We start from the raw sequence: 25752 nt of genomic DNA, 5'->3' as shown, positions 1-25752 counted from the left end.
TAAATAAATGGCATACATGCAAATTAACATGCATTGCAAAGTTATCACATCAAAGGTATTGCCTAGCTAAGCAATTTTACTTTTTCAAATAAAGTATTGCATCATCACAAATTCCACCATTCCAACTCACAGGCTGCCGTGATCTCTCCATGCAAAGCTGCCTTTTAGGAAAAGGTAACACAAAGTGTAGAGCATGAACTGTATCACATACTGTTAAGATATGCAGAGTTTGCAGTCTAGAAGCTATTAAATCATGTCAATTGATTTTTTTTTTTTTGAGACAGGATCTCCCTCTGCCACACAGGTTGGAGTACAGTGGCACAATCGTGGCTCACTGCAGCCTCAAACTCCCAGACTCAAGCGATCTTCCCAGCCTCCCAAGTAGCTGGAATTACAGGTGTACGCCATCATGCTTGGCTAATTTTTAAAATTTTTTGTAGAGACGGGGTCTCACTATGTTGCCCAGGCTGGTCTCGAACTCCTGGACTCAAATGATCCTCCTGCCTTGGCCTCCCAAAGTGCTGAGATTACAGGCATGAGTCACTGAATCCAGCTTGTCCATTTATTTTTTAAAAACCAATTTATTGAGGTATGGCTGGCATACAAAAAATGTATATATTTAATGTATGCAACTTGATGAGTTTGGAAATAAGTGTACACCTGTGAAACCACCACCACAATCAGTGCTATAAACATATTTGTCACCTCCAAAAGTTTCCTCCAGCCCTCTATAATATTATTATTATTTGGTGGTAAGAACACTAAACATAAGATCTTAGCAAATGTTTAAGTATAAAATGTAATATTATAAACTATAGGCACCACGCTGTACAGTAGGTCTCTACGACTTATTCATCTTGGATAACTGAAACTCTACCTTTGGACCAACATCTCCCCATTCTCCTTCCTCCCTCTAGCTCCTGGCAATGATTATCAAAATGAGTTTGACTATTTTAGGTTGCTTGTATAAGAGAGATAATGTAGTACTTGGTCTTCTGTGCCTGGTTCATTTCATTTAGCATTATGTCCTCTGTGTTCATCCATCTTGTTGCAAATGGCAGGATTTCCCTCTTTTTCAAGGCAGAATAACAATCCATTATATGTCTATACCACATTATCTTTACCCGTTCATCTATGGATGGACACTTATGTTGCTTCTATGTCTTGGCCATTGTGAATAATACTGCAGCATGCATGAGAGTGCAGATATCTCTTCAGTATCCTGATTTCAGTTCCTTTGGATGTATACCCAGAAGTGGAATATCACTTTATGCCTGTTAGAATGGCTATTACTAAAATAAATAAATAAATAAATAAATAAGAATTGATGAGGATGTGGAGAAAAGGGAACTCTTGTACACTGTAGGTGGAAATATAAATTGCTGTGGCCACTATGGAAAACACTATGGAGGTTCCTCCAAACATTAAAACTAGAACTACCATATGATGTTAATTGCTTTGTTTGACAAGGCTGGGAAGACAATCCAATGGGGGAAAATAGTGTTTTCAACAAACTGTACTGGGACAACTGGATAGCCACATGTAAAGAATGAATTTGGATTCCTACCTCAGACCATACACAGAAACAAATAAAATACCTAAATGTAAGAACTAAAACTGTAAAAATCAAAAAAACACTTAGAAGAAAACAGGAGGCTGGGGGTGGTGGCTCACGTCTGTAATCCCAGTGCTTTGGGAGGTCGTGGCAGAAGGATCACTTGAGGCTAGGAGTTTGAGACTAGCCTGGGCAACATAGCTGACCCTGTCTCTACAGAAAAACAATTTTTTAAAATTAGTGGGCAAGGTGGTGTGTGTCTGTAGTTCCGGCTACTTGGGAGGTTGAGGCAAGAGGATCACTTGAGCCCAGGAGCTTGAGGCTGCAGTGAGCTATGAACCAGACCCTGTCTCTAAAAAAATAAAGTAACAAAAAACAACACAGGAGTAAATCTTCATGACCTTGAATTAGGCAATGAATTCTTAGATACAACACCAAAAACACAAGTCAGATAATAAAACATAAATTGGATGACTTAAAAATAAGAAACCTTTGTGTTGCAAATGACACCATCAAGAAAGTGAAAGATAACTCACAGAATGGAAGAAAGTGTTTGTGAATCAGCCGGGTGTGGTGCCTCATGCCTGTAATCCCAGCACTTTGGGAGGCCAAGGTGGGTGGATTGCCTGAGCTCAGGAGTTCAAGACCAGCCTGGGCAACATAGTGAAACCTCATCCCTACAAAAAATACAAAAAAAATTAGCTGGGTGTGGTGGCACACACCTGTAGTCCCAGCTCCTTGAGGGGCAGAGGTGGGAGGACCACTTGAGCCCAGGAGGTTGAGGCTGCAGTGAGCCGAGCCAAGACTGTGCCACTGCACTTCCAGCCTGGGTGACAGAGTGAGACCCTGTCTCAGAAAAAAAAAAGAAAAGAAAAGAAAAAGAAAATCATGAGTCATATATCTGATCCAGGAATTGTATCCAGAATAAATAAAGAACATTTACAACTCAATAATTGAAAGACAACCCAATTACAAAATTAGCAAAAGATTTGAATAGACATATCTCCAAAGAAGATCTACAAAAGGCAATAAGCACATGAAGATATGTTCATCATTCACCATTAGGGAAATGCAAATGAAATCCACAATGAGACCACTTCACACACACTGGGATGGCTGTAATAAAAAAGATAGACTAGAACAAGTGTTGGCAAGGATGTGGAGAAACTGAACCCTTCAACATTGCTGGTGAGCACATAAAATAGTGTATCCCCTTTGGCAAACAATCTGGCATTTCTTTAGAAAGTTAAAGTAAGAAGAAGGGGAACGAAGAGAGGTTGATTAATGAGTACAAAGATATACTTAGAAGAAATAAGATCTGGCGTTCAATATAGTAGTAGGGTGACTATAGTCAAATAAATCAATTGCACATTTCAAAATAGCTAGAAGAGAATAATTCAAAGGTTCCTAGTATAAAGAAAAGATAAATAGACTGGGTGCAGTGGCTCATGCCTGTAATCCCAGCACTTTGGGAGGCCGAGGTGGGCAGATCACTTAAGCTCAGGAGTTTGAGACCAGCCTGGCCAACATGGTGAAACCCCCATCTCTACTAAAAATACAAAAATGAGTCAGGCCTGATGGTGGGCACCTGTAATCCCAGCTACTTAGAAGGCTGAGGCACGAGAATTGCTTGAATCCGGGAGGTGGAGGTTGCAGTGAACCGAGATTGTGCCACTGCACTCCAGCCTGGGCAACAGAGTAAGACTCTGTCTTAAAAATAATAATAATAAAAAGAGATAATTATTTAAGGTGATGGACATCCCAATTACCCTGATTTGATTATATGGTTGTATCAAATTATCACAGGTACCCTCAAAATATGTACGTCTTATATGTATGGAAAGAAAAAGGAAAGAAAGAAAGAAAGAAAAAGAAAAGTCAAGCCAGTGAATGGATAAACAAAACATGGCATATCCATACAATGGAATAATAGTTGGCAATAAAAAAAGTAGCAATAGCAAAGACATGGAATCAACCCAGGTGCCCATCAATGGTGGGCTGGATAAAGAAAATGTGGTACATAGGCACCATGGAACACTACACAGCCATAAAAGGAAAAAAATCATGTCTTTTACAGCAACATGGATGCAGCTAGAAACCATTCTTCTAAGCAAACTAACACAGAAACAGAAAATCAAATACTGCATGTTCTCACTTGTAAGGGGGAGCTAAGCTTTGGGTACACATAGTCATAAAAACGGGAATGACAGACACTGGGGAATACAAGAGGAGGGAGGATGGGAAGGGAGTAAGGTTGAAAACAACCTACCTATTGGATACTATGCTCACTACTGGGGGTGAGGGATCCATTCATACTTCCAACCTCAGTATCACGTCATATACCTTTGTAACAAACCTGCACGTGTACCCCTGATTCTAAAATAAAAGTCAAAAAGAGAAAAAAATAAAGAAAATGAATAAAGTATATGGTACTGATTCATGCTACAGCGTGGATGAGCCCTGAAAACATTACGCTAAGCGAAAGAAGCCATTGCCAAAGACCACATATTGCATGACTATTTATATGAAATACACAGACTAGGCAAAGGCACAGAGGCAGAAAATGGTTACCAGGGGGTGGAAGAAAGGGGAACTTGGGACTAACTGCTATTGGTATGGGGTTTTTGGGGTTTTTTTTTTTTTGGGAGGGGGGGTTCTTTTAGAGGAGAAAAAGCTGCTCTAAAATTAGATTGTGGTGATGGTTGCACAGCTCTGTGAATACTCCAAAAGCCCTTGAATAGCATGCATTGCATGGTATATGAATTATATCTCAAAATGCTGTTTAAAGAGAAAGATTACACAGTTCTCATGCTTTCGTGATCTTGGCCACATGTAGAGACAGTATCCGTTGGTGTCATCCTTGAACACAAAGGACAGTGATGTAAGTGCTAATAATTATGACCTGTTAAATGCATAAGCAATTGGTAGTCATAGTCAGTTCAGATTTCCAATATTGGATTACTATATCTTTATCGTATCATTTACTACTGTAATATGATATTCTACATCCACAGCCAGCACTATAAACAGTGATGTTAATTTTAGGTCTGTGAGGGCAGGGGAATTTTAAGAGTGCCAGAGCCTCTTCCCATAATCTGCCTAGTTCCGACAAAGGGAAACGCTGGCTACTGTCCCTCTAAGCTGAAGTCAAATGTGAACCCAAAGGACTTTGGCATGCAGCCACCAGTCCATCCTGTTTGCTACCAGTTCGGGGTTTTGTGTGTGTGTGTGTCGTTAAGTTTTCTCCTTGGCTGTCAGTCAAGCCTCTTCTGTGGTTTTTTTTGGTTGTTGTTGTTGTTTTGTTTTTTGGGTTTTTTTTTTTGAGATGGGGTCATGCTCTGTTGTCCAGCTGGTCTCAAACTCCTGACCTCAGGTGATCCGCCTGCCTCAGCCTCCCAAAGTATTGGGATTACAGGCGTGAGCCACTGCATACGGCCAAAATTCCATCAATTTTTTTTTCTTTTGAGTCAAGTCTCGCTCTGTTGCCTCAGCTGTAATGCAGTGGTGCAATCATAACTCACTGCAGCCTTGAACTGGTGGCCTCAAGCAATCCTTCTGTCTCAGCCTCCTGAATAGCTGGGACTATAGGCATGAGCCTTTTTTTTGGGAGGGAAGGGGGTGGATGGGGTCTTGCTCTGTTGCCCAGGCTGGAGTGCAGTGGCACGATCTTGGCTCACTGCAACCTCTGCCTCTTGGGTTCCAGCAATTCTCCTGCCTTAGCCTCCCGAGTAGCTGGTATTACAAGCACACACCACCACGTACAGCTAATTTTTGTATTTTTAATAGAGATGGGGTTTCACCATGTTGACCAGGCTGGTCTTGAACTCCTGACCTCAAGTGATCTGCCTACCTTAGCTTTCCAAAGTGCTGGGATTACAGGCATGAGCCACTGCACCCAGCCCTCTTCTTTATAGTCTTTACCCTGCAACCCCATCCCTCCCAGGGTGGTGCTGGAACCACAGCCATGAGGATGATTTGAAAAATCCCCACTGCCTTGACCGAGTGAAATTGAAGGAGGGCAGTTAGTTGGCAAGAACCAATTTCCACCTCTGGCAACAGCCTCCTTTGCTTTCTCTTAATGGTCTGTTATCCTCTCTCAAAGTTGACACATTTGCCATCCATGGAGAGTACCAAGTGGTGGCTTGGAATGTCCTATGTACAAAGGTGCCTCTCTCCATCACTCTTGCCAGCGTCCCTCCCGAGAGCATGAAGGCCAAGGTCAATGTCATCCCCTTTTCCCCAGAGAACCTTGCCCAGGGCTTCAGGCTCAGCCCGTTTTCCCCAAGTTCACGTATTCATTTTGTTCCCCCGCTTATCTTCTGAACTCTGAGGTCGGCTCTCCTTCCTATTGCTTTTTGCTGGCTTCGTTGTTTCACACCGGACGGTCACTTAGATTCCTGCCTGGATAGGGAAAGATCTTCTGATGAAAGTCCCCTCCACGCTGGGGGCCCTGGAGCAGGACTGGCCTCTCTGCAGGCAGATATTGTCTGATTTCCGGGAGCTCTAAAGAGCTTGACCTGCATATAATTACAAAATGACCTACCAGACAAGGAAATGTTTGTTTACGCTAAATCTCTGCCGCCACCCACCTCCCCCGGCCTGACTCCCCTATCAGGGAGAAAGGTTGAGTACCACCAATTCTCTCACGTCCATTGTGAGTCTTTCCTCCTGGTTTCCGTCTTGCAGGCTTTTCCCCTCCCCTCCCCTCTGGCCTGCAGGAGAGGCAGGGAGTTAGAAGTAGATGGAGTGTGGGCCGGGTGCAGTGGCTCACGCCTGTAATCCCAAGGCCTTGGGAGGCTGAGGCAGGAGGACTGCCTGAAACCAAGGAGTTTGAGATCAGCCTGGGAAACATGGTAAGACCTCATCTCTACAAAAAAAAAAATTAAAAATTTGCTGGGTGCAGTGGGGTGAGCCTGTAGTCCCAGCTACTTGGGAGGCTGAGGCAGGAGGATCGTGTAATCCAAGGAGGTCAAGGCTGCAGTGAACTAGATGGTGCCACTGCACTCCATCCTGGGCAACAGAATCAACAGAATAAGACCCTGCCTCTAAAAGAAACAAAAAAATAATAGATGGAATGAGTGTTCTTGTGGGATGATTGTGAAGTCTGATCATTTTCGCTTAGTCATACTTGCAGCAAATGTTTATTGAGCATATAATAAGAGCCAAGTGCTGTGTAGACTCGGTGTTGCACAGAGAATAAGTCTGACATGGTCCCTGCCTTCATCCAGCTAGTGGTTTAGGGGCCAAATGTCAAGTTACAACCGTGGTACCTGCCTAGGCAGAAGAGTTCAGGGCAGAGTGAAAGCATCTTACTTAGGGAAGACCTGACCTAGCAGTGCTGGTGGGTTAGGGGGAGGCCAGAAAAGGTCTGAGGGACTTTTGCCCTGTAGGGGGGTGGGCGGGGGCTTTTTCTCATTAAAAAAAATTACATTTTGCAACTTTGTTGGTATAAATCCAGGTTGGATTCATCATAATATAGTCACTGTCTCCCTCTTCTGATTTTAAAAGAAATTAAGCCTTTTTTTCTGGGCCCCTAAAGGTATCATAGACCCTGGACACTATGCAGTTGTGCCTCTGGGAAAAGGTCGCCTCAAGGAAAAGACAACGGAATTAATATCTGAAGAATAAACAAGAGTTAATTCAGTGAATAAGGGGTGGGGTCGGTGGGGTGTGGGCACCATAAACAGCATATACAAAGGCCCTGTGGTGGAGGAAATGAGCAATTGACAAGCTTCAGATGTAGCTCAGGAAGCATGTGTGGATAAGGTGAGGACACAGAGAAAGCCGGGCCATATGCAGCCTTTCCCCAGAGCAGTGGGAAGTCACTGATACATCTCAAGGCAGGAAGTTGAATGACTTTGGAAGGCATCAATAGGAAAAGCTGGCCAGAAAACCAGAAGGCCCCCCAATTCTCCCTATTAAATCTAATCAACAGAATGAGAACCTATCTGGAACAGAACAGGCATTGATGTTACCCAGGTTAAGAAGAAGCTGAGATGTACGGGCCTGCTGGTCTGTGGTTACTGGAGAAGACAAGACAATATTTTCCCCCAAACTTTGTTATGCCTTCTTTCCTAGGTGGCGCCCTTGGGAAATAGATTCTGAGGCAGAGATTTGTGTGCAGGTTTATGGGTGTGTGTTCTTGGAAACAACATCCATAAGGACGTAAGGGCAATATTGGGCGGATACAAGGGAGATCTCAGGTTATCCCAGAGCTCCCTAGAACCAGTGAAGCAGGAGACGGGACTTAACTCCAGGGGTGGGGCTTGGACACTGGACCACATTGAGGACTAGCTAAAACAGGGATGGGGCAGTAGCACCTCTCCATAAGACACGCCCACCTGTGAGCGCTGACAGTTTACCATTGCCATGGCAACACTGGGAGTTACTGCTCCTTTCCGTGGCAAAGACCGAGGACCCAAATGCTACCACCCTTTCCTTGAAATTTCTGCATAAACTGCCCCTTAATCTACATGTAATTAAAAGTAGCTATAAATATTTTCGTTTGTTTTTTTGGAGGCTGCATTGAGCTGAGGTCACGCCATTGCACTCCAGCCTGGGCGACGAAGTGAGACTCTGTCTCAAAAAAAAAAAAAAAAAAAAGAAAGAAAGAAAAAAAAAGAAAATACAGGCATTTGTTGTGCTGTGCGTTGGGTATACAGCAAGCTTGAAACAGGCATGCAGGCACGGCTGTGGGCTCCTGGTCCTCACAGCCTGGCAGGAAAGGCAGGCCCTTGGACACTGAAGTGAGGGGAAGCAAAGTTACTGGAGATGAGAACAAGGGACCCAACTGTCATGTAAGACAGGATGTGGCATGTGTTACAGTAAAAGCAAAAGTTCACTAAAAAAGCTTCTGCACAGCAAAAGTGATAATCAACAGAGTGAACAGACAAGCTGCAGAATGGGAGAACATATTTGCAAACTGTGCATCTGACAAAGGACTGATATCCAGAATCTACAAAGAACTCGAACAACTCAACAACAACAAAGGGCAAATAACCCCATTAAAAGGTGGACAAAGGACATGAACAGACATCTTGTTAAAGGAGACACACAAATTACCAAGAAACATGTGAAAAATGCTCAACATCGCTAATCATCAGAGAAACGCAAACTGAAACCACAGTGAGATACTATCTCACTCTAGTCAGGATGACCATCATTAAACAGGCAAAAAAATCACAGATGTTGGCGAGGATGTGGAGAAAAGGGAACACTTCTACACTGCTGGTGGAAGGTAAATTAGTACAACCTCTATGGAAAACAGTAGGGAGATTTCTCAAAAGAACTAAAAATAGTCCTACTATTCGATCCAGCAACCCCAAAACTGGTGTATATACCCGAAGGAAAAGAAATCATTGTATCAAAAAGATACCTGCACCCATATCGCAGCACTATTCACAATAGCAAAGATAAAGAGGCTAAGTATCCAGAACACATGAATGGATAAATATCTCTCACACACACACACACACACACACACACACACACACACACGAAGACTACTCAGCCATGTAAAAGAATGAAATCATGTCCTTTGCAGCAACGTGAATGGAACTAGAGGCAGTTATCTTTAAGTGAAATAACAGACACAAAGTCAAATACTGCATGTTCTCACTTATAAGTGGGAGCTAAATAATATGAACACATGCACATAGAGAGTGGAATAATAGACATTGGAGACTCAGAAGGGTGGGGAGGGGGAGGGAGAGGGATGAAAAGTTACTTAATGGGTACAATGTACACTATTCGGGTGATGGCTACACTAAACCCCAGACTTCACCAGTATGCAATATATCCATATAACAAAACTGCACCTGTACTCCCGAAATCAATCAATCTATGTATTTTACCGATCATCTATCAGTCTATTTATCTTATCTTTCATCAATCTATCTTATCTATCAATCATCTATCTTATCTATCATCTATCAATCATCTATCCATCGTATCTATCTTCTATCAATCATCTTATCTATCATCTATCAATCTATCAAGTCTTATCAATCTATTATCTATCTATCTATCCACCCATCCAATCTCGCTCTCTTTCTCTTTCTCTCTCTCTCTCCCCCTCTCTAAAGCACAAGCTCGGCTGGGCGCAGTGGCTCATGCCTGTAATCCCAGCACTTTGGGAGGCGAGGCAGGCAGATCATTTGAGGTCAGGAGTTCAATGAGACCAGCCTGGCCAACATGGTGAAAACCCTGTCTCTACTAAAAATACAAAAAAAGTGAGCTGGGCATGGTTGGTGGCATGCATCAGTAATCCCGGCTACTCAGGAGGCTGAGGCAGGAGAATCGCTTGAACCCAGGAGGCAGAGGTTGCAGTGAGCCGAGATCATGCCACTGCACTCCAGCCTGGGTGATAGAGTGAGACCATGTCTTCCCTCACCAAAAAAAAAGCACAAGCTCAGGAAGTTGGGAACACACATGGGGAGACACGTGCTCTGGGATATGAGATTGGGGGTAGAAACCCCCAACGTGCATGCTCTGAGTTGAGCCTGGAGAGACGGCACTATTGAGAGATGAAGGGATGAGGAGGAGCACATGGGCAGAAGGAACCACAGCGGCAAAAGCAGCGACAAGCCACTGCACCCGGGAGGATGGCTATAACCAGGGAAACAAAAGAGGAAAATAACAAGTGTTGACGATGATGTGGAGAAACTGGAATCCTCATGTGTTGCTGGTGCAAATATAAATACAGAGCAGCCATTCTGGAAAAAATACAGTGCAGCCATTGTGCCATTTTGGGCAGTTCCTCAAAAAGTTAAACATAAAATTATCATGTGATATAGCGTATCCACCCCTAGATATATACCCCAAATAACTGAAAACAGGGGTATTTAAAGAGATACTTGAACACAAATGTTCATAGCAGCACTACTTACAGTAGCCAAAAGGTGAAAACAGCCTGAATGTCTATTGATGGAGGAATGGCTGAACAAATTGTGGGCTATTCATACAATGGAATATTATATGGCTATAAAAAGGAACCAAGTACTGACCCATACTACAACATGGATGAACTTTGAAAACATTATACTAAGTGAAGGAAGTCAGGCATAAAAGGTGACCTACTGTATGACAGCATTAGAGGAAATGTCTAGAATAGGCAAATTCATAGAGACAAAAAGTAGATTTGTGGTTGCCAGGGCCTGGGTGCCAGGGGAGAAACTGGAGAAACTGCCTAATAGGTTGAGAAATTTTACTCTGGAGTCATTGAAATGTTTTGGAACTATGTAGAAGTGGGGTTTGTACAACATTGTGAATATACTAAAACCCACTGAATTCTACCCTTTAATATGATTTTTTATTATGTGAATTTCACTTAAATATATATATATATATATATAATTTTTTTTTTTTGAGACAGCGTCTCACTCCATCACCTGGGTTGGAGTGCAGTGGTGCAATCTCAGCTCACTGTGACCTCTGCCTTCCGGGTTCAAGCAATTCTCCTGCCTCAGCCTCCTGAGTAGCTGGGATTACAGGCATGTACCATTACGCTTGGCTAATTTTTGTATTTTTAGTAGAGACAGGGTTTTGCCATGTTGGCCAGGCTGGTCCTGAGCTGCAGCCTGCCTCGGGTCCCGAAGTGCTGGGATTAGAAGCGTGAGCCACTGCGCCTGGCTCCACCTAAATAATTTTTTTTTTTTAAGCACAGGGAAGTGCAGTCTGTAGGGGAAGAACTGACGTTAGAGTAGGGAGCTAGGCAGACATGAGCAGGGCAGGAAAGGGCCCCCACCCCGACCCACAGGAATGTCAAGTGACCATCAGGTGATAGTCAGGTGGTTGTTAAACTCTCTCTCTAAAATACTAATTGGGCCAGGTGTGGTGGCTCACACTTGTAATCCCAGCACTTTGGGAGGTGGAGACATGTGGATCACTTGAGGTCAGGAGTTCGAGACCAGCCTGGCCAACATGGTGAAACCTCATCTCTACTAAAAATACAAAAATCAGTGGGGCATGGTGGTGGGCACCTGTAATCCCAGCTACTCAGGAGGCTGAGGCAGGAGAATCGCTTGAACCTGGGAGGCAGAGGTTGTAGTGAGCCGAGATCATGCACCACTGCACTCCAGCCTGGGTGACAGAGTGAGAAATCTTGCCTCAATAAATAAATAACTAAATAAATAAAATAAAAATTGGTCACAGCTGGTGCCAGAAAGGCAGGCTCCCAATAGATAGAAAACACCTGAGGCTGGTGATAACTGCTTCTGGATAAGATCTCAGCAGTTGGGCGAGTGAGCTCCAGCATGTGCATTAAGAGGCAAAATGGCTGGGGTTTAACTGATCTATGACCTTCTTCTAGCATTGCTCGAATGGTAAGGGAAGAACGCCTCACATGAGCATGCACACAACTTCAGTAAACACACTGTGCATGCGGACCCTCCTGAATGCACAGGTCCCCGCTCATATGGACAGCCCACCCCAAGGAAGAGTTAGGAAGAAGAAATGCAGACCCCGGAACCAAGCCAATGTATAAAACCCCAGGTCAAGGGTTGGACAACACACTTGGGTCTCTCAAGTCACCCACTTGGTCCTCCTCTTCCAAGTGTACTTCCTTTTGTTCCTGCTCTCAAATGTTTTAATAAACTTTTACTCCTGCTCTAAAACTTGCCTTGGACTTTCACTCTGCCTTATGCCCTCAGCTGAATTCTTTCCTCTGAGGAGGTAAGAATCAAGTTGCTGCAGGCCTGTATGGATTTGCCGCTGCTCACACTGATGGTAGATGGATTTCTGAGATTGACTTTGGTATGAGGTGAGTGAGAAGGCATAACCTTGAAAATGAGGGTTGAGGCTATTTGTAGATTTCTTAAGTGCAGTGTTAAAGACTTTCAACTTTATTTGGTAGCCAGGGGGATCCCTTTGCTTTCTCTGTACTCAGTGGCCTAGAGCAAGGATTGACACACTTTTCCTAGGAATGAGCAGATAGTAAATATTTCCAGCTTTTCGGGACACACGATCTCTGTTGGAACTACAGCCAGCCCTCTCTATCCTCAGGTTCCGAATCCAAGGATTCAACCAATTGCAGATAAAAAATATCAAAAACAATAAAAATAATAACTAAAATAATACAAATTAAATAACAATACAGCATAACAACTATTTACACTGCATTTACATCGTATTGGGTATTGTATCTAGAGATGATATAAAGTATACAGGGAAAATTTAAAGTATACAGGGGTATATGCAAGTACTATACCATTTTATATCAAGGACTTGAGCATCTGTGGATTTTAGTAATCTGGGAGGTCCTGGAACCAATCCCCCACGGATACCGAGGGACAACTGTACTCAACCCTGCCACTAAGGCACAAAATGAGCCATAGACAATCTGTAAACAGGTGGGCATGGCCATTGGCCAATACAACCTTATTCATAGACACTTTACTTTTGATTTCATTTTATTATTTAGAGACAAGATTGTCTTGCTCTTGATAAAATAAAAACTTCAGCTGGATTAAATTTAAAGTAGTTTAATTGAGCAATGAACAATTCAGAAATTGGGCAGCCTCCTGTGCCAAGGTACGCTCAGAGACCCCAGCGCAGCCATGTGGTGGATGATTGGTGGACTGAAAAAGGAAAGCGAGGTACAGAAAATGGATGTGAGGTACAGACACAGCCGGACTGGTTACAGCTCGGCGTTTGCCTTATTCGAACACAGTTCAAACAGTTGGCTACATTTATTGGCTAAAACTTGGTGACTGGCACAAGTGTAGGCTACGGTCAGTTTACACCTTCACTTTTTTGTTGAGACGGAGTCTCGCTCTGTCGCCCAGGCTGGAGTGCAATGGCGCAATCTGGGCTCACTGCAACCTCCGCCTCTCGGGTTCAAGTGACTCTCCTGCCTCAGCCTCCTGAGTAGAGTAGCTGGGATTACAGGTTCCTGCCACCACTCCTGGCTAATTTTTGTATTTTTAGTAGAGATGGGGTTTCACCATGTTGGCCAGGCTGGTCTCGAACTCCTGACCTCAAATGATCCGCCCACCTCGGCTGCCCAAAGGTCTGGGATTACAGGCGTGAGCCACCGCACCCGGCCTCCTCCACTTATTATAGTCCATGATGTACAGAGAAACCTTTAGGCTGAACTTAAAATATGTAAGGGGGAAGCTTTAGGCTAAACTTTAACTCTGTCACCCATGCTGGAGTGCAGTGGCGCAATCATAGCTCACTGCAGCCTCAAATTCCTGAGCCCAAGCCATCTTCTCGCCTCAGCCTCCTCAGTACCTGGGACTATAGGCACATGTCACTGCATCTGGCTAATTTTTTAATTTTTTGAGTGACAAGGTCTCACTATTGCCCAGGCTGGTCTCGAATCCCCGGGCTCAAGCGATCCTCCCACCTCAGCTTCCTGGGATTACAGGTGTGGGCCACCAAGCCTGGCCCATGTAATTTTTATGTGTCATCAAGTATTATTCTTTTTTGACTCCCCTCCAACTCCAACCATTTTATTGATTGATTGATTGAGACAGAGTCTCACTGTCTCCCAGGCTGGAGTGCAGTGGCATGGTCTCGGCTCACTGCAGACTCTACCTCCCAGGTTCAGCCGATTCTTGTGCCTCAGCCTCTCGAGTAGCTGGGATTACAGGAACCTGCCACCATGCCCAGCTAATTTTTGTATTTTTAAAAGAGACAGGGTTTTGCCATATTGGCCAGGCTGGCCTCAAACTCCTGACCTCAGGTGATCCTCCTGCCTCGGCCTCCCAAAGTGCTGGGATGACAGGTGTGAGCCACCACGCTGGGTCCCCTCCAACCACTGTAAAATGTAAAAACCATTCTTAGCTTGCAGGCAGTAGACCTGCAGCCAACAGTTTGACAACTCCTGGCCTAGAGGGATACAGGAAATATGGAAGTTGAAATTTGGGGTGTTAAAGTTGTCAGCTGTTCCTGGCTGACTACAGACTCTTGCCTTCTACCTTCAGCTTGTCAGTAAAATGGGAATAATTCTAAAACAAAGCTCTGGAGATGGGGGTTTAGTGGGGTTGGGAGGGGCAAGTTCTGTTGGAACAGTCATGAATCACATTTCAGAATATCAAGTATCATGAATGCATTTCACCATTAGCACCGTCCCTCAGGCTGGAGCATGCACGAGTCTAAAGATGAATGTGTCCAGCCAGGCGTGGTGGTTCACACCTATAATCCCAGCACTTCGGGAGGCCAAGGCGGGTGGATCACTTGAGGCCAGGAGTTCGAGACTGGCCTGGCAAACATAGTGAAATCCCATCTCTACTAAAAATACAAAAATTAGCTGGGCGTGGAGGCACGTGCCTGTAATCCCAACTACTCAGGAGGCTGAAGCAGGAGAATAGCTTGAACCTGAGAGGTGAAGGTTGCAATGAGCCAAGATTGTGCCATTGAACTCTAGCCTGGGTGACAGAGTGAGACTCCGTCTCACAAAAATACAAAACAAAAAACCAGACGTGTCTGATAGGGAACCTGGTGACATCCTGAAAAACTCAGGAGAGGGAAATGGAGTCATGGTTGGTTCAGGATCTTTGGGAGTGTTTTCCCAGTGTGAAACTCACTTGAAAGTAAAATCAAAACCAAACTATTTTCTCTCCTGTCTTTCCTTATGGAGGAATTGGCGATCCCCATTCGGGCCCTTGATCCCCCACCTCTGCGTCTCCCTGTGTCATGCGCATGTATAAGTGGCCCTTGTGGATTGCTGCCTGGCCGAGTGTTCTCATGGCACGTTGTATTCCACAGGCCCGGTTTACCCCGCCACAGCTGCCTGGAAGACCCTTCTAATGCCTGCGCTTGAAAAGACACACTCTAAGCCATCCTTTTCCCTCCAATCCCTACACAAACGCAAATGATAATTACACAGCCAGGAATGCTCAAAGGGAACATTTGGTTTGGGTTTGCAACTCGGAGACCCACAAATTCCAGGAAGAAACTAATAAAATATCAACCTCGAATCTCACCACTGACTCAGACCTCTTTCCTCTGCAAGCCTGTGGGCCCCTGACCTGTGCTCATGGCTCCGACTGTCATCAGCTGCTGTTGAATTTGAGGGGGCACAGAAGGCCATTTTAGAGAGCCACAGCTCCCAAAGCACATTCGGGAGGTCATTCATCTTTCCGGAATCTCTGCAAACAGGCACATCATGCTCCTTGTGCTGGTTTCTTTCCCCCCTCCTGGCATGGTGCGGCTTGGGCCTGGATCCTGCATTTTATAATTTGTTGTTCTGTTTAGCCGTTGCTCCCACCCCACCCTTGTTCTTGTTTTGTTCGATTTCCTTCCTCTCTTAGGCTGGAATTATTCCGGTAATCATGAGAGAATCAAGGTGCGGCGTTTCAATCCGTCACTCCGTAGTTGCCCATCCCCCCCAAAGGCAGTAGATCTTGTGACAGCCGGGACGGAAAGGAGCTGGCTGGTCTTTCCTGTGTCCTTTCTGAGTTCTGTAAGAACCATAGGTCTTACAGACCCATTTTCATTTTTGTCCCTTCAATCCTGGGATGTATTTGCTTCTGACAAAGTCGATTAGCCTTGTTGAGAAGATGTTTCTGAGTGGATCCACTAGACATAACCTCCCCTCCAGGGTCCAAACCATATCTTGTATTTATTTCTCCCATCGCCCCACAGTGCCTGAAATAAGATAGTATTCTAAGGTCATGTACTGACTGAATGGACAAATCCAGTTATTTCACAGGTTACGCTGTTCACCCCAACCCTCATTGTCTGTTCCTTGGGCTTTTATCATAATTTCGTATTTCGCCTTCCCATTCATTCTATGGTCTTCTCAGATGTTTCTGTCCATAACTTCCACATTCTGGCTTGTCAGTTTGATGGGGCTTCTGACATTTGCAGCAGGGAGGCCTGATAGGCTGATTTTTCTGGACTGTGTGAGGTTGAGGTGGCATCGCATTTCTTCATGTTCATATTCTTCAGTGTCATTCACAAGATCTGGCTCTGAGTAGGAACTCAATGTGTGTTGGGTGAATGAGTGAGTGAATGAAAAAGGAGAAACTTTTTTTTTTTTTTTTGGAGACAGTATCTCCCGCCGTCACCTAGGCTGGAGTGCAGGGGCATGATCTTGGCTCACTGCAACCTCCACCTCCCAGGTTCAAGCGATTCTCCTGCCTCAGCCTCCTGAGTAGCTGGGACTACAGGTGTGCACCACCATACCCAGCTAGTTTTTGGATTTTTAGTAGAGATGGGGTTTTATCATCTTGGTCAGGCTGGTCTCAAACTCCTGACCTCAAGTGATCAGCCTGCCTTGGCCTCCCAAAGTGCTGGGATTAGAGGCATGAGCCACCACACCCAGTCAAAAGTTCTTTAACCCTACCTGCCTCTAGCTTTCTAATCCCAGCCAAGATGAATTCTTACTTCAAGCAAAATTGTCGTGGTTCAGCATTTACCTACATTTACTGCCAAATCCTCCCCAAAAGAGAGATCCAGAAGGGTCCCAAAGTCAAATGAGTTTGAAAAATGCTGTATATTCTGGCCAGGCGCAGAAAAAAAAAAAAAAAAGAAAAGAGAAAAAAAAAGCTGTATAGTCTTTCCATATTCAGAGAGTCACTGCACACTCTGGCATTTAAAGTCTCTGAGACATTCCATATTTAGAGACTTACTTCATTTTCTTTAATCCTGAATTTCCAAAACTCATTTGACCATGGAATATTTGCTTCTCAGAACATCTTCCAGAACTAATTTTCCAAGATTTGAAAGCTTAATATATATGCCTTGTATCCTTATTTGTAACATATAACATATAATAACAATGCATGAAGCCTCGGTAGAATTCTTAGCTGGCGGCATTGAATGTATATTTAGGTCATCTCTAAGAATGAATGCTCGATCCATAAAAACATGCATTAGTAATGCAGACATGCACAGAAGTGGACATATTAAAATGACACAGATGTACGCATCAGTGCATTCTCACAGATCCCTGCAATGCAACAGCCACCAGTAGACCTGTCTATGTGCTCATTCATTCATTCAACAAACACCATTCTGGGCACTGGGGATATAGCAGTGAGCAAAGCAGACATAGTACCTGTGAGCAGAAGGGGGCTTACCTTTTCCATGTGGATACAAACAAATAAACTTGATAGAGACCGGGTGCGGTGGCTCACGCCTGTAATCCCAGCACTTTGGGAGGCTGAGGCGGGTGGATCACTTGAGGTCAGGAGTTCGAGACCAGCCTGGCCAACATGGTGAAAACCTGTCTCTACTAAAAATACAAAAGAAATTGGCTGGGCACGATGACGTACGCACTTGTAGTCCCAGCTACTCGGGAGGCTGAGGTGGAAGAATCGCTTGAACTTGGGAGGTAAAGGTTGCAGTGAGCAGAGATTGCGCCACTGCACTCCAGGCTTGGCGACAGAGCAACATTCCGTCTCAATAAATGAGTAAATAAACCGATAGAATTTGGAATTCCAACATATACTAGGAGAAGTGGGTCAACTCTGTGTCCTCATTCTTAAAGGACACTGTTAGGATCTATAATGGTCCTTCCATGCTTACAAATAGATTGCTCTATGAAATAAAATTGTTTCTGTGGAGGCAGGGGCTTGCCACAGATATGATTTTATAGAAACAATGAATTATGGACCTAATCTGTATACATTTTAAAAATTTAAATATACAGCACTCCCATTTTCTAATAAATGTACCTATTCTTTTCTTGGGTGTTGAAATTTCATTTCTAACTGATCTTTAATTCATAGTGAGATAGAACAGTTCAGCTTTAAAGCCCCCTCCTCCACTGTAGGTAGTTACTGACTTTTAAATAAAAGCTGAAATGCGCAAGGGTAGCAGAGCAGGGAGAGGTGGGGAGGGGATCTGTCAGCAACACTGGGTGCTAGGGACCTCTTTCAACAAACTCTTCTCCCCAAACCTGTTTTGTCTGAGAGTGGGAAACATGGGGACTGGCCGGGTGCATGTTGAAAAACCTCCCAGGTGATTCAATTAACATCTCCTTTTCTGGTTAAGAACTTAGAACCCACAGAGAGAAAAAATCATTGAATCGCTCAGGATGATCTCTGTGCAATGCAGACAGAGACATACATTGCCCGCAGGTGTCCACTTTGCAAACAGGACTTTGTTCCTATTGGATTTTCTTAAAGCAGGGCACCTGGGAGAGAGCCAGGGACTCGCAGACACAGCTGCCTAGGTACCAAAGAGGCAGTGCCTGCTGTCTCGTGCCTGGACAGGCCGGGGAGCTTCCTGACCTCTGCCCGCAGCCTGCACGCCCGTCTGAATAGCCTTGGCGGAAGAGGGGGAGGAGGAAGGACGGACAGCTCGTCTGCGTGGAAGGCAGCAAGCGCAGATGTTTTCAGCAGCAGATGGCAGACTCCAGCAGAGCCCTCCACAGCCCTCTTGGCCCCCGCAAGGCAAGGAGAAAGGAGAGGGCGGGGGAGGCTGGCCCAGCTCCTCTGAGCTGGGCCTCCAGCAGCACGCTGTGCGTGTGCCCGCATCGCATTCACATCTGCTCTCCCCCTCCCAAGTATTGATCCCGGGCCCAGAGTCTAGAGGCATCTCGGAGGGCTCAGGCTGGCTGTGGGCTTCCCAGCGCTCCTGAACGATTGCTGCCTGGGGGCTGTGCTGCTGCATTTCTGAACAGCCACGGAGCGGGATACTCTTGAGTTCCACGTGGGCCACTAAGTAGGGGAGGGAGCAACTGTTCACAGGTCTCTGGGCCCTTAAGAACCCCAAACTGAGGCCCCTTCAGACCTGGGAGAGGAAAAAAGAGGCCCAGAAACGTGGCCTGGGCACAGCAGAGGCCCTATCCTTACTCTCAACGAAGGGTGCCATTTCCAGGCAGGTGAAACAATGGCGGGTCGGGGGTGAGTGAAAGGATGGAGAAAAACCGAGGTGGCAGAGAGAAGAGGGAGAGGTAGAGGGGATGGCAGGCAACACCCACCTGGCTCCTGTGCTCACAGCGCAGCACCCCTTACCCGTCAGCCTCTTAGCGAGCTCTGCTGCACCTCAGAATCCTCCTTAACCCAGCTCTTCAGGAAGCCACCGCTGGTGAGTTGGGGTCTGCGCTGAAGAGGGAGAGCTGGTGATATGTTGGTCCTAGCTCTGACTCAGTGGCCTCTGTACCCCGGATAGTCCCTTTCTCCTCTCGGGGCCTTAGTTGTCCCAGCTGGAAAAAATAAACACCACCATCTCCTGGGTATTAATTAGGTCTCTCTTCCTCTTGGGCTGAACTTTGAAAAAGCCAGGAGAAGCCGCAGTGTGTCCTGTTGTGTCCGGAATTGGTGGGCTCTTGGTCTCACTGACTTCAAGAATGAAGCTACGGACCCTCGCGGTGAGTGTTACAGTTCCTGAAGGCGGCCTGTCCGGAGTTTGTTCCTTCTGATGTTCAGATATGTTACAGCCTTCCGGTGGGTTCGTGATCTCGCTGGCTCAGGAGTGAAGCTGCAGACCTTCGCGGTGTTACCGCTCTTAATGCGGCGAGTCTGGAGTTGTTCGTTCCTCCAGGTGGGTTCGTAGTCTTCTCGCCTGACTTCAGGAGTGAAGCTGCAGACCTTCACGGTGTTACAGCTCACAAACGCAGCGTGGACCCAAAAAGCGAAAGAACAAATCTCCCACAGAGCGGAAAAACACCCCAGCCAATTGCTACTGCCAGCTCCGGCAGCCTGCTTTTATTCTCTTGTCTGGCCCTACCCACATCCTGCTGACTGGTCCACTTTACAGAGAGCCAATTGGTCTGTTTTACAGAGAGCTGATTGGTCCGTTTTGACAGGGTGCTGATTGGTGCGTTTACAATCCCTGAGCTAGACGCAAAAGTTCACGTCCCCACTAGATTAGCTAGATACAGAGTGTGGACACAAAGGTTCTCCAAGTCCCCACCAGAGTAACTAGATACAGAGTGTCGATTGGTGCATTCACAAACCCTGAGCTAGACACAGAGTGCTGACTGTTGTGTTTACAAACCTTGAGCTGGATACAGAGTGCCGATTGGTGTATTTACAATCCCTTAGCTAGACATAAAGGTTCTCCAAGTCCCCACCAGACTCAGGAGCCCAGTTGGCTTCACCCAGTGGATCCCGTACTGGGCCGCAGGTGGAGCTGCTTGCCAGTCCTGCGCCGTGTGCCCACACTCCTCAGCCCTTGGGTGGTCGATGGGACTGGGCCCCGTGGAGCAGGGGGCAGCGCTCGTCGGGGAGGCTCGGGCTGCGCAGGAGCCCACGGCCGGGAGGGGAGGCTCAGGCATGGCGGGCTGCAGGTCCCGAGCCCTGCCCCGCGGGGAGGCAGCTAAGGCATGGCGAGTAGTCGAACACAGCAGCTGCTGGCCCAGGTGCTAAGCCCCTCACTGCCCGGGGCTTGCAGGCTGGCCGGCGGCTCCGAGTGCGGGGACTGCCGAGCCCGCGCCCACCCGGAACTCGCGCTGGCCCGCAAGCACCGCGCGCAGCCCAGGTTCCCACCTGCGTCTCTCCCTCCACACCTCCCTGCAAGCTGAGGGAGCCGGCTCCGGCCTTGGCCAGCCCAGAAAGGGGCTCCTACAGTGCAGCGGCGGGCTGAAGGGCTCCTCAAGTGCGGCCAAAGTGGGCGCCAAGGCCGAGGAGGCGCCGAGAGCGAGCAAGGGCTGCAGGGCTGCCAGTACGCTGTCACCTCTCACTGTAAGAGGCAGAAACAGAACCAGGAATTCACTGCTTCCCGGTTATTTCCCAGCCTTAGTGCTGGGAGACTGGGAAACGTGGGAAACTGTCAACACTGAACTGAAAGTGAAGGTGGGGGGTGGGGGTGCCCAGAGTCCTAAGTGATTGGGGAAATGATAGCGGCAATGATAAAAACAAACCCCTGCAGAACGCTTGTGCCGGCCAGCCTGCTCTGAGCACTTAGCACGCTCTAGTTCATGCAGCGATCCTCACGACCACCCTGGAACATAACTTCTGCCATCATTCCTGGTCCAGACACCGCGAAGCTGACTTTCAGCCAGGTTCAGTTGTCCACACAGTTGCTCCTCCTCTGGCTACTCCAGGGCCAGGATTAGACCCCAGGCAACCCGCATTCAAATTCCATACTCCTAACTACTATACTATGCTACAAAAGAAGACAACAAAAAACACTTTTCACCCACCAGACCGACAACAAATGATAGGTTTGATGTTATCAAGCTCTGGTGAGGCTGTGGTGTGGCATTGGCATCTGATTACCTCTGAGAAGGACCAGAGGGCTAGGATTGGAGTAGAGATCAGAGGCACTTTCATCTTATCTGTGTTCGTTTTGTGATTCAGAAAATAGTCATGCATGACTTGGCTTAATAACTCATTGAGAGAGAGAAGCGGTCAGAAAAAGAGAACCAGGCTGGGTGCCATGGCTCACACCTGTAATCCAAAGGAGGTCAAAGCAGGAGGATTGTTTGAGGCCAGGAGTTTGAGATCAGCCAGGACAACAGAGCAAGACCTCATTTCTACAAAAAATAAAAAAATTTAGCCAGGCATGGCGATGCATGCCTGTAGTCCCCTTTACTCAGGAGGCTGAGGACGGAGGATCACTGGAGCCCAGGAGTTTGAGGCTGCAGTGAGCTGTGAGCATGCCACTGCGCTCAAGCCTGGGTGATACAGGGAGACCCTGTCCCTAAAAAAAAAAAAAAAAAAAAGTAAATTACAATGTTAAAAAAGAAAAGAAAAAAGAGAAATAGAGTTCTCAGAATCTAGAACTCTGATAATTCCCTTTGGACATGACCTCTGGGTTGCAGAAACTCTGAGCGCTACATCTTGGGGGAAGTTCATTCTTTTCTTTCTTTTTTTTTTTTTTTTTTTTTTTTGAGATGGAGTCTTGCTCTGCCACCCAGGCTGGAGTGAAATGGTGCAATCTCGGCTTACTGCAACCTCTGCCTCCCGGGTTCAAGCAATTCTCTGCCTCAGCCTCCCAAATAGCTGGGATTACAAGCGCCCGCCACCAGGCCCGGCTAATTTTGTATTTTTAGTAGAGACGAGGTCTCACCATCTTGGCCAGGCTGGTCTTGAACTCCTGACCTTGTGATCCACCTGCCTTGGCCTCCCAAAGTGCTGGGTTTACAGGCGTGAGCCACCGCGCCTGGCTTCATTCTTTTTTTCAGCTCACACGTGTTTCCTGAGGACCCCTCCGTTCCAGGTTCTGTGCTGGGCTCTTTGTTCTCTCCAATTGAAAGGGTGTCTCCACTTTTGTCCCTAGTCTGGGTGCCTCTATGGCAATAAGGTCACGGCAACAGGGAGGAGCCGGTTCACCCCCGGCTCCGATTTGCAATGGGCTGTTCCCCCAGGGCAGCTGCTGCAACAACATTTACTTTGTACAGCGGCCAAGAGAGAGAGTGAGAGAGAAAGAGAGAGAGAGTGTGTGTGAGCCTACCCCATTCCAAAATGTTTCTGACAAAATCTGGCACTCCTGGTTCTAATCAAAATACTGAACTTTGGAACAAATTAACATTCCACAGCCCTCGCAGGGAAGGAGAATTCAGCTGAGACGACTTCAGTTCACAACCACAACAAAAATAGCTTCTCCCGGGGAAGACACATTCTGCTAACAAGGTCACTTTTGTTTTGCTTCCCCTGCCATCTGGTTGAGCGGCACCAGGGGCTGGCTTTGGTACCAGCTTATTCCGCGGAGAGGGGATGGGAGCCGGGTGGCGCTGCAGAAGGCTTCTCAGCTTCCTGGCAAGGGGCGCCAGCACAAAGTTACCTTCAGACATCCCCAGAAAGCACGCAGGCAGATGGAGCCCCGGTTTCACCCAGCCCGACTCTCATGCGCTCCTCGCCTGCAGAAGGTGAGACACCAGCAGAAAGCAACAAGCAGGTGGGCGTCAGAGGAGAGCAAGAACGCGACAGAATGGGAAAGCTATCTTCGTCTTGCAAAACATTCCAGAACTCCACCTAACTCACTCAGAGTCTGAGTTCCAGAAGGACAACAAAGAAGCATGATTTTGTTTCTTGTTTTTATTTTTCTTCTTTTAATTCCCCTCCTTTCTACCTTCAAGGTTCAGCTTCTTTCAGTCATTGATCCTGTGACCTCAGGGACACTCAATCACCTACCTTGGCCTCAGTGTTCGCATGTGTAGAATGGGAATCACTTGCGCAGACCTTATGCAGTGATGGGGAAGGTGAAAAGAGCAAATGTGATTGTCTAGGGGCCCCTGGCTGAGGTTCTTGAGAGAGAACATACTGGAATTCCATGCTTTGTAGCCTACAAGGGCTTTCATGCAGACAATTTAGTAAGATCCCATGACAGCCATCTACAGAGCTTTCACATGACTTAAATGGTCTGCCCCCGGTTACTTCAATCGACAGGTGTAGAGCTGGGATTTAAACACAGACATTTTCGTTAAAAAGACAGTGTTGCTTTTACTATGCGGTGATTTTCAATCTTTTAAAATAGGATAGGAAGCCATGAATATACACACAAAAGATCAGATACAGTTTTAAGGGGTTCACAACCTCCTAAAGCTATGCCCCTCCTAGGAGGAGTCCAGGGGTCTCAGAGGTCTCAGAATATTTGCTGGGGGCTGGAGAGGGGTGAAGACAAAACTTTTAGTAAAATAAAGGAGGAATCCTTAAAATGACCAAACATCTCTGTACTCTTAAGTCAAAGAGAATAAGCTCATCAGAACGTCTCTTTAAGGATTTTAGTAGTCCTTAAAAAGACAAATGAGGAAACTGATTTTAAGGTGAGTTGAACCTGGTTTATGAGGAGTCGGAGGAGGGGGTAAGGGAGGAGTCAGGCCTCTGCAGTTGGGGTGAGCAGTGGAATCCCAGGGCTGCGCAGTGGCAGGTGGTCTCTGAATCAGAGCCGAGAGATGACCTCTGGCCTAGGATTTCAAAGGTCTGGAAGAGCCCTGGGGCCATTTGCAAGTGTTCATTAGTGTTCACCCTCAGCTGGGAACATCACAGGGTGGTCACTGTTCAGCTCCGTTCACCGTTCACTTTTCTTAGTCTTCCTTTTGCTACCTGCCGTGGAGACCTCCCGCATCTCAGACTGACTTTATTTACTTGAAGGTCATCCAGAAATTGCCTGCTTTTTCATGTTCATGTGACAAATATTTATTAAGCCTTAATTATATTCCAGGCAATATGCTCAGCTCTTTGTATACAGCAGAGAAGAAACGAGCTCTTGCCCTCAGACAGATTTCAGTCTAGTAGGGAGCTAAACACTTGACATGAATCACTCCAAGAATGGGGTGGGGGTACATTTGGGGCAAAGGTTGACGTTCTAGGAAGAAAAATACAGGCCACTGGAAACTTTTGATATAGGAAAGAATGCTGGTAGCTCCAGAATGTTCTATATCAGTAATACAGAAAATGGATTATTTGACTTGAAGTTAAGTTTAAAACAGCACTTTATGTGACTTTGAGGAAATGAGAATTGTCTACATCAAAGAATGGGTGTGAGGGATGTCGGAGATCGGGGCTGATGGCTAAAGCCTGTACCCGGCCCTTTCTGGGCTCTGCAACAGGAGATCGTGCACCAGGGGAGAGCAAGCAGGACCAGATGAGAGAAGAGGCATTAGAGGTCAAATCTGGAGGACAGAATTTCCAAAAGAAGTTTCATGGGTGGCCTGCATCAGGATTCCCGCAGGGGGTTGTTGCAATTGCAGATGCTTGGGTCCATCTCAGCCTTGCTGAATCAGCATCTTGGCGCAGGAGCTTGGAATCTGCCTGATGAGCAAGCATCCTAAGGGATTATTTTATGCAGGGGGCTTCGGAGTCTGGATTTTATCCTAAATGCACATCAAGGCCAGTGAGGAGTTTGGAAGAGAGGAATGGATACAGTCCATTTTTCCAGATGTTTTGCATCTTGCGTAGGAACTGAGAGGCGTGGGATAATGGGGGAGGTGGACAGACCACTTAGATGGCCAGGGCAGAATCTCCATGGCCTTGGCCAGGTGCAGTGGTTCATGCCTATAATCCCAGCATTTGGGGAGGCTGAGGAGAGCGGATTACTTGAGGTCACGAGTTCAAGACCAGCCTGGCGAAATCCCGTCTGTACTAAAAATAAAAATATTAGCTGGGCCTGGTGGCACATGTCTGTGATCCCAGCTACTGGGGAGGCTGAGGCATGAGAATCACTTGAACCTGAGAGGCAGAGGTTGTGGTGAGCTGAGATCATGCCACTGTACTCCAGCCTGGGTGACAGAGGGAGACTCTGTCTCAAAAAAAAAAAAAAAAATCTCCACAGTCTCCCCCATCCCTTTGCTTCACTGGGTCAACTTGCCCCTTATTTCAGTCACCAGTTCCAGGGTAGCAGGGTCATCTGCACCT

General features: G+C 46.4%; 2 long non-coding RNA genes across 2 annotated transcripts in view, besides 4 other annotated features; one reads left to right on the top strand and one right to left on the bottom strand.

Annotated features, from left to right (window-relative positions):
* LINC03088 (long intergenic non-protein coding RNA 3088) overlaps positions 1-20133 on the bottom strand; it is a 36636-nt gene extending 16503 nt beyond the window's left edge. Inside the window, exon 1 of the long non-coding RNA XR_007063473.1 lies at positions 19431-20133. This is a non-coding gene — a long non-coding RNA (long intergenic non-protein coding RNA 3088). The remainder of the gene's footprint in view (positions 1-19430) is intronic.
* Positions 8424-8733: an enhancer, noted in NCBI's record as "active region_7097". NCBI's record gives its function as "activates an Ori minimal core promoter by ATAC-STARR-seq in GM12878 lymphoblastoid cells {active_cell/tissue: GM12878}" and the evidence as "EXISTENCE:reporter gene assay evidence [ECO:0000049][PMID:35858748]".
* Positions 15333-15884: an enhancer, noted in NCBI's record as "H3K4me1 hESC enhancer chr12:117103598-117104149 (GRCh37/hg19 assembly coordinates)". NCBI's record gives its function as "activates a minimal SCP1, AML or CMV promoter by ChIP-STARR-seq in primed H9 embryonic stem cells {active_cell/tissue: H9 hESC(primed)}" and the evidence as "EXISTENCE:reporter gene assay evidence [ECO:0000049][PMID:30033119]".
* Positions 18285-18909: an enhancer, noted in NCBI's record as "H3K27ac-H3K4me1 hESC enhancer chr12:117100573-117101197 (GRCh37/hg19 assembly coordinates)". NCBI's record gives its function as "activates a minimal SCP1, AML or CMV promoter by ChIP-STARR-seq in naive H9 embryonic stem cells {active_cell/tissue: H9 hESC(naive)}" and the evidence as "EXISTENCE:reporter gene assay evidence [ECO:0000049][PMID:30033119]".
* LOC124903028 (uncharacterized) lies at positions 18848-24056 on the top strand. Its single transcript, XR_007063474.1, has 3 exons — positions 18848-19537; positions 19731-19993; positions 22935-24056. It is a non-coding gene; the product is annotated as an uncharacterized LOC124903028 (long non-coding RNA).
* Positions 22645-23148: an enhancer, noted in NCBI's record as "H3K4me1 hESC enhancer chr12:117096334-117096837 (GRCh37/hg19 assembly coordinates)". NCBI's record gives its function as "activates a minimal SCP1, AML or CMV promoter by ChIP-STARR-seq in primed H9 embryonic stem cells {active_cell/tissue: H9 hESC(primed)}" and the evidence as "EXISTENCE:reporter gene assay evidence [ECO:0000049][PMID:30033119]".
* Positions 24057-25752: the final 1696 nt, after the last annotated feature.

The sequence above is a fragment of the Homo sapiens genome, chromosome 12, assembly GCF_000001405.40.
Source record: "Homo sapiens chromosome 12, GRCh38.p14 Primary Assembly".
Classification (NCBI taxonomy): domain Eukaryota; kingdom Metazoa; phylum Chordata; class Mammalia; order Primates; family Hominidae; genus Homo; species Homo sapiens.
The sequence above is the reverse complement of the archived record's forward strand: the minus strand, read 5'-3'. Positions and strand labels throughout refer to the sequence as shown.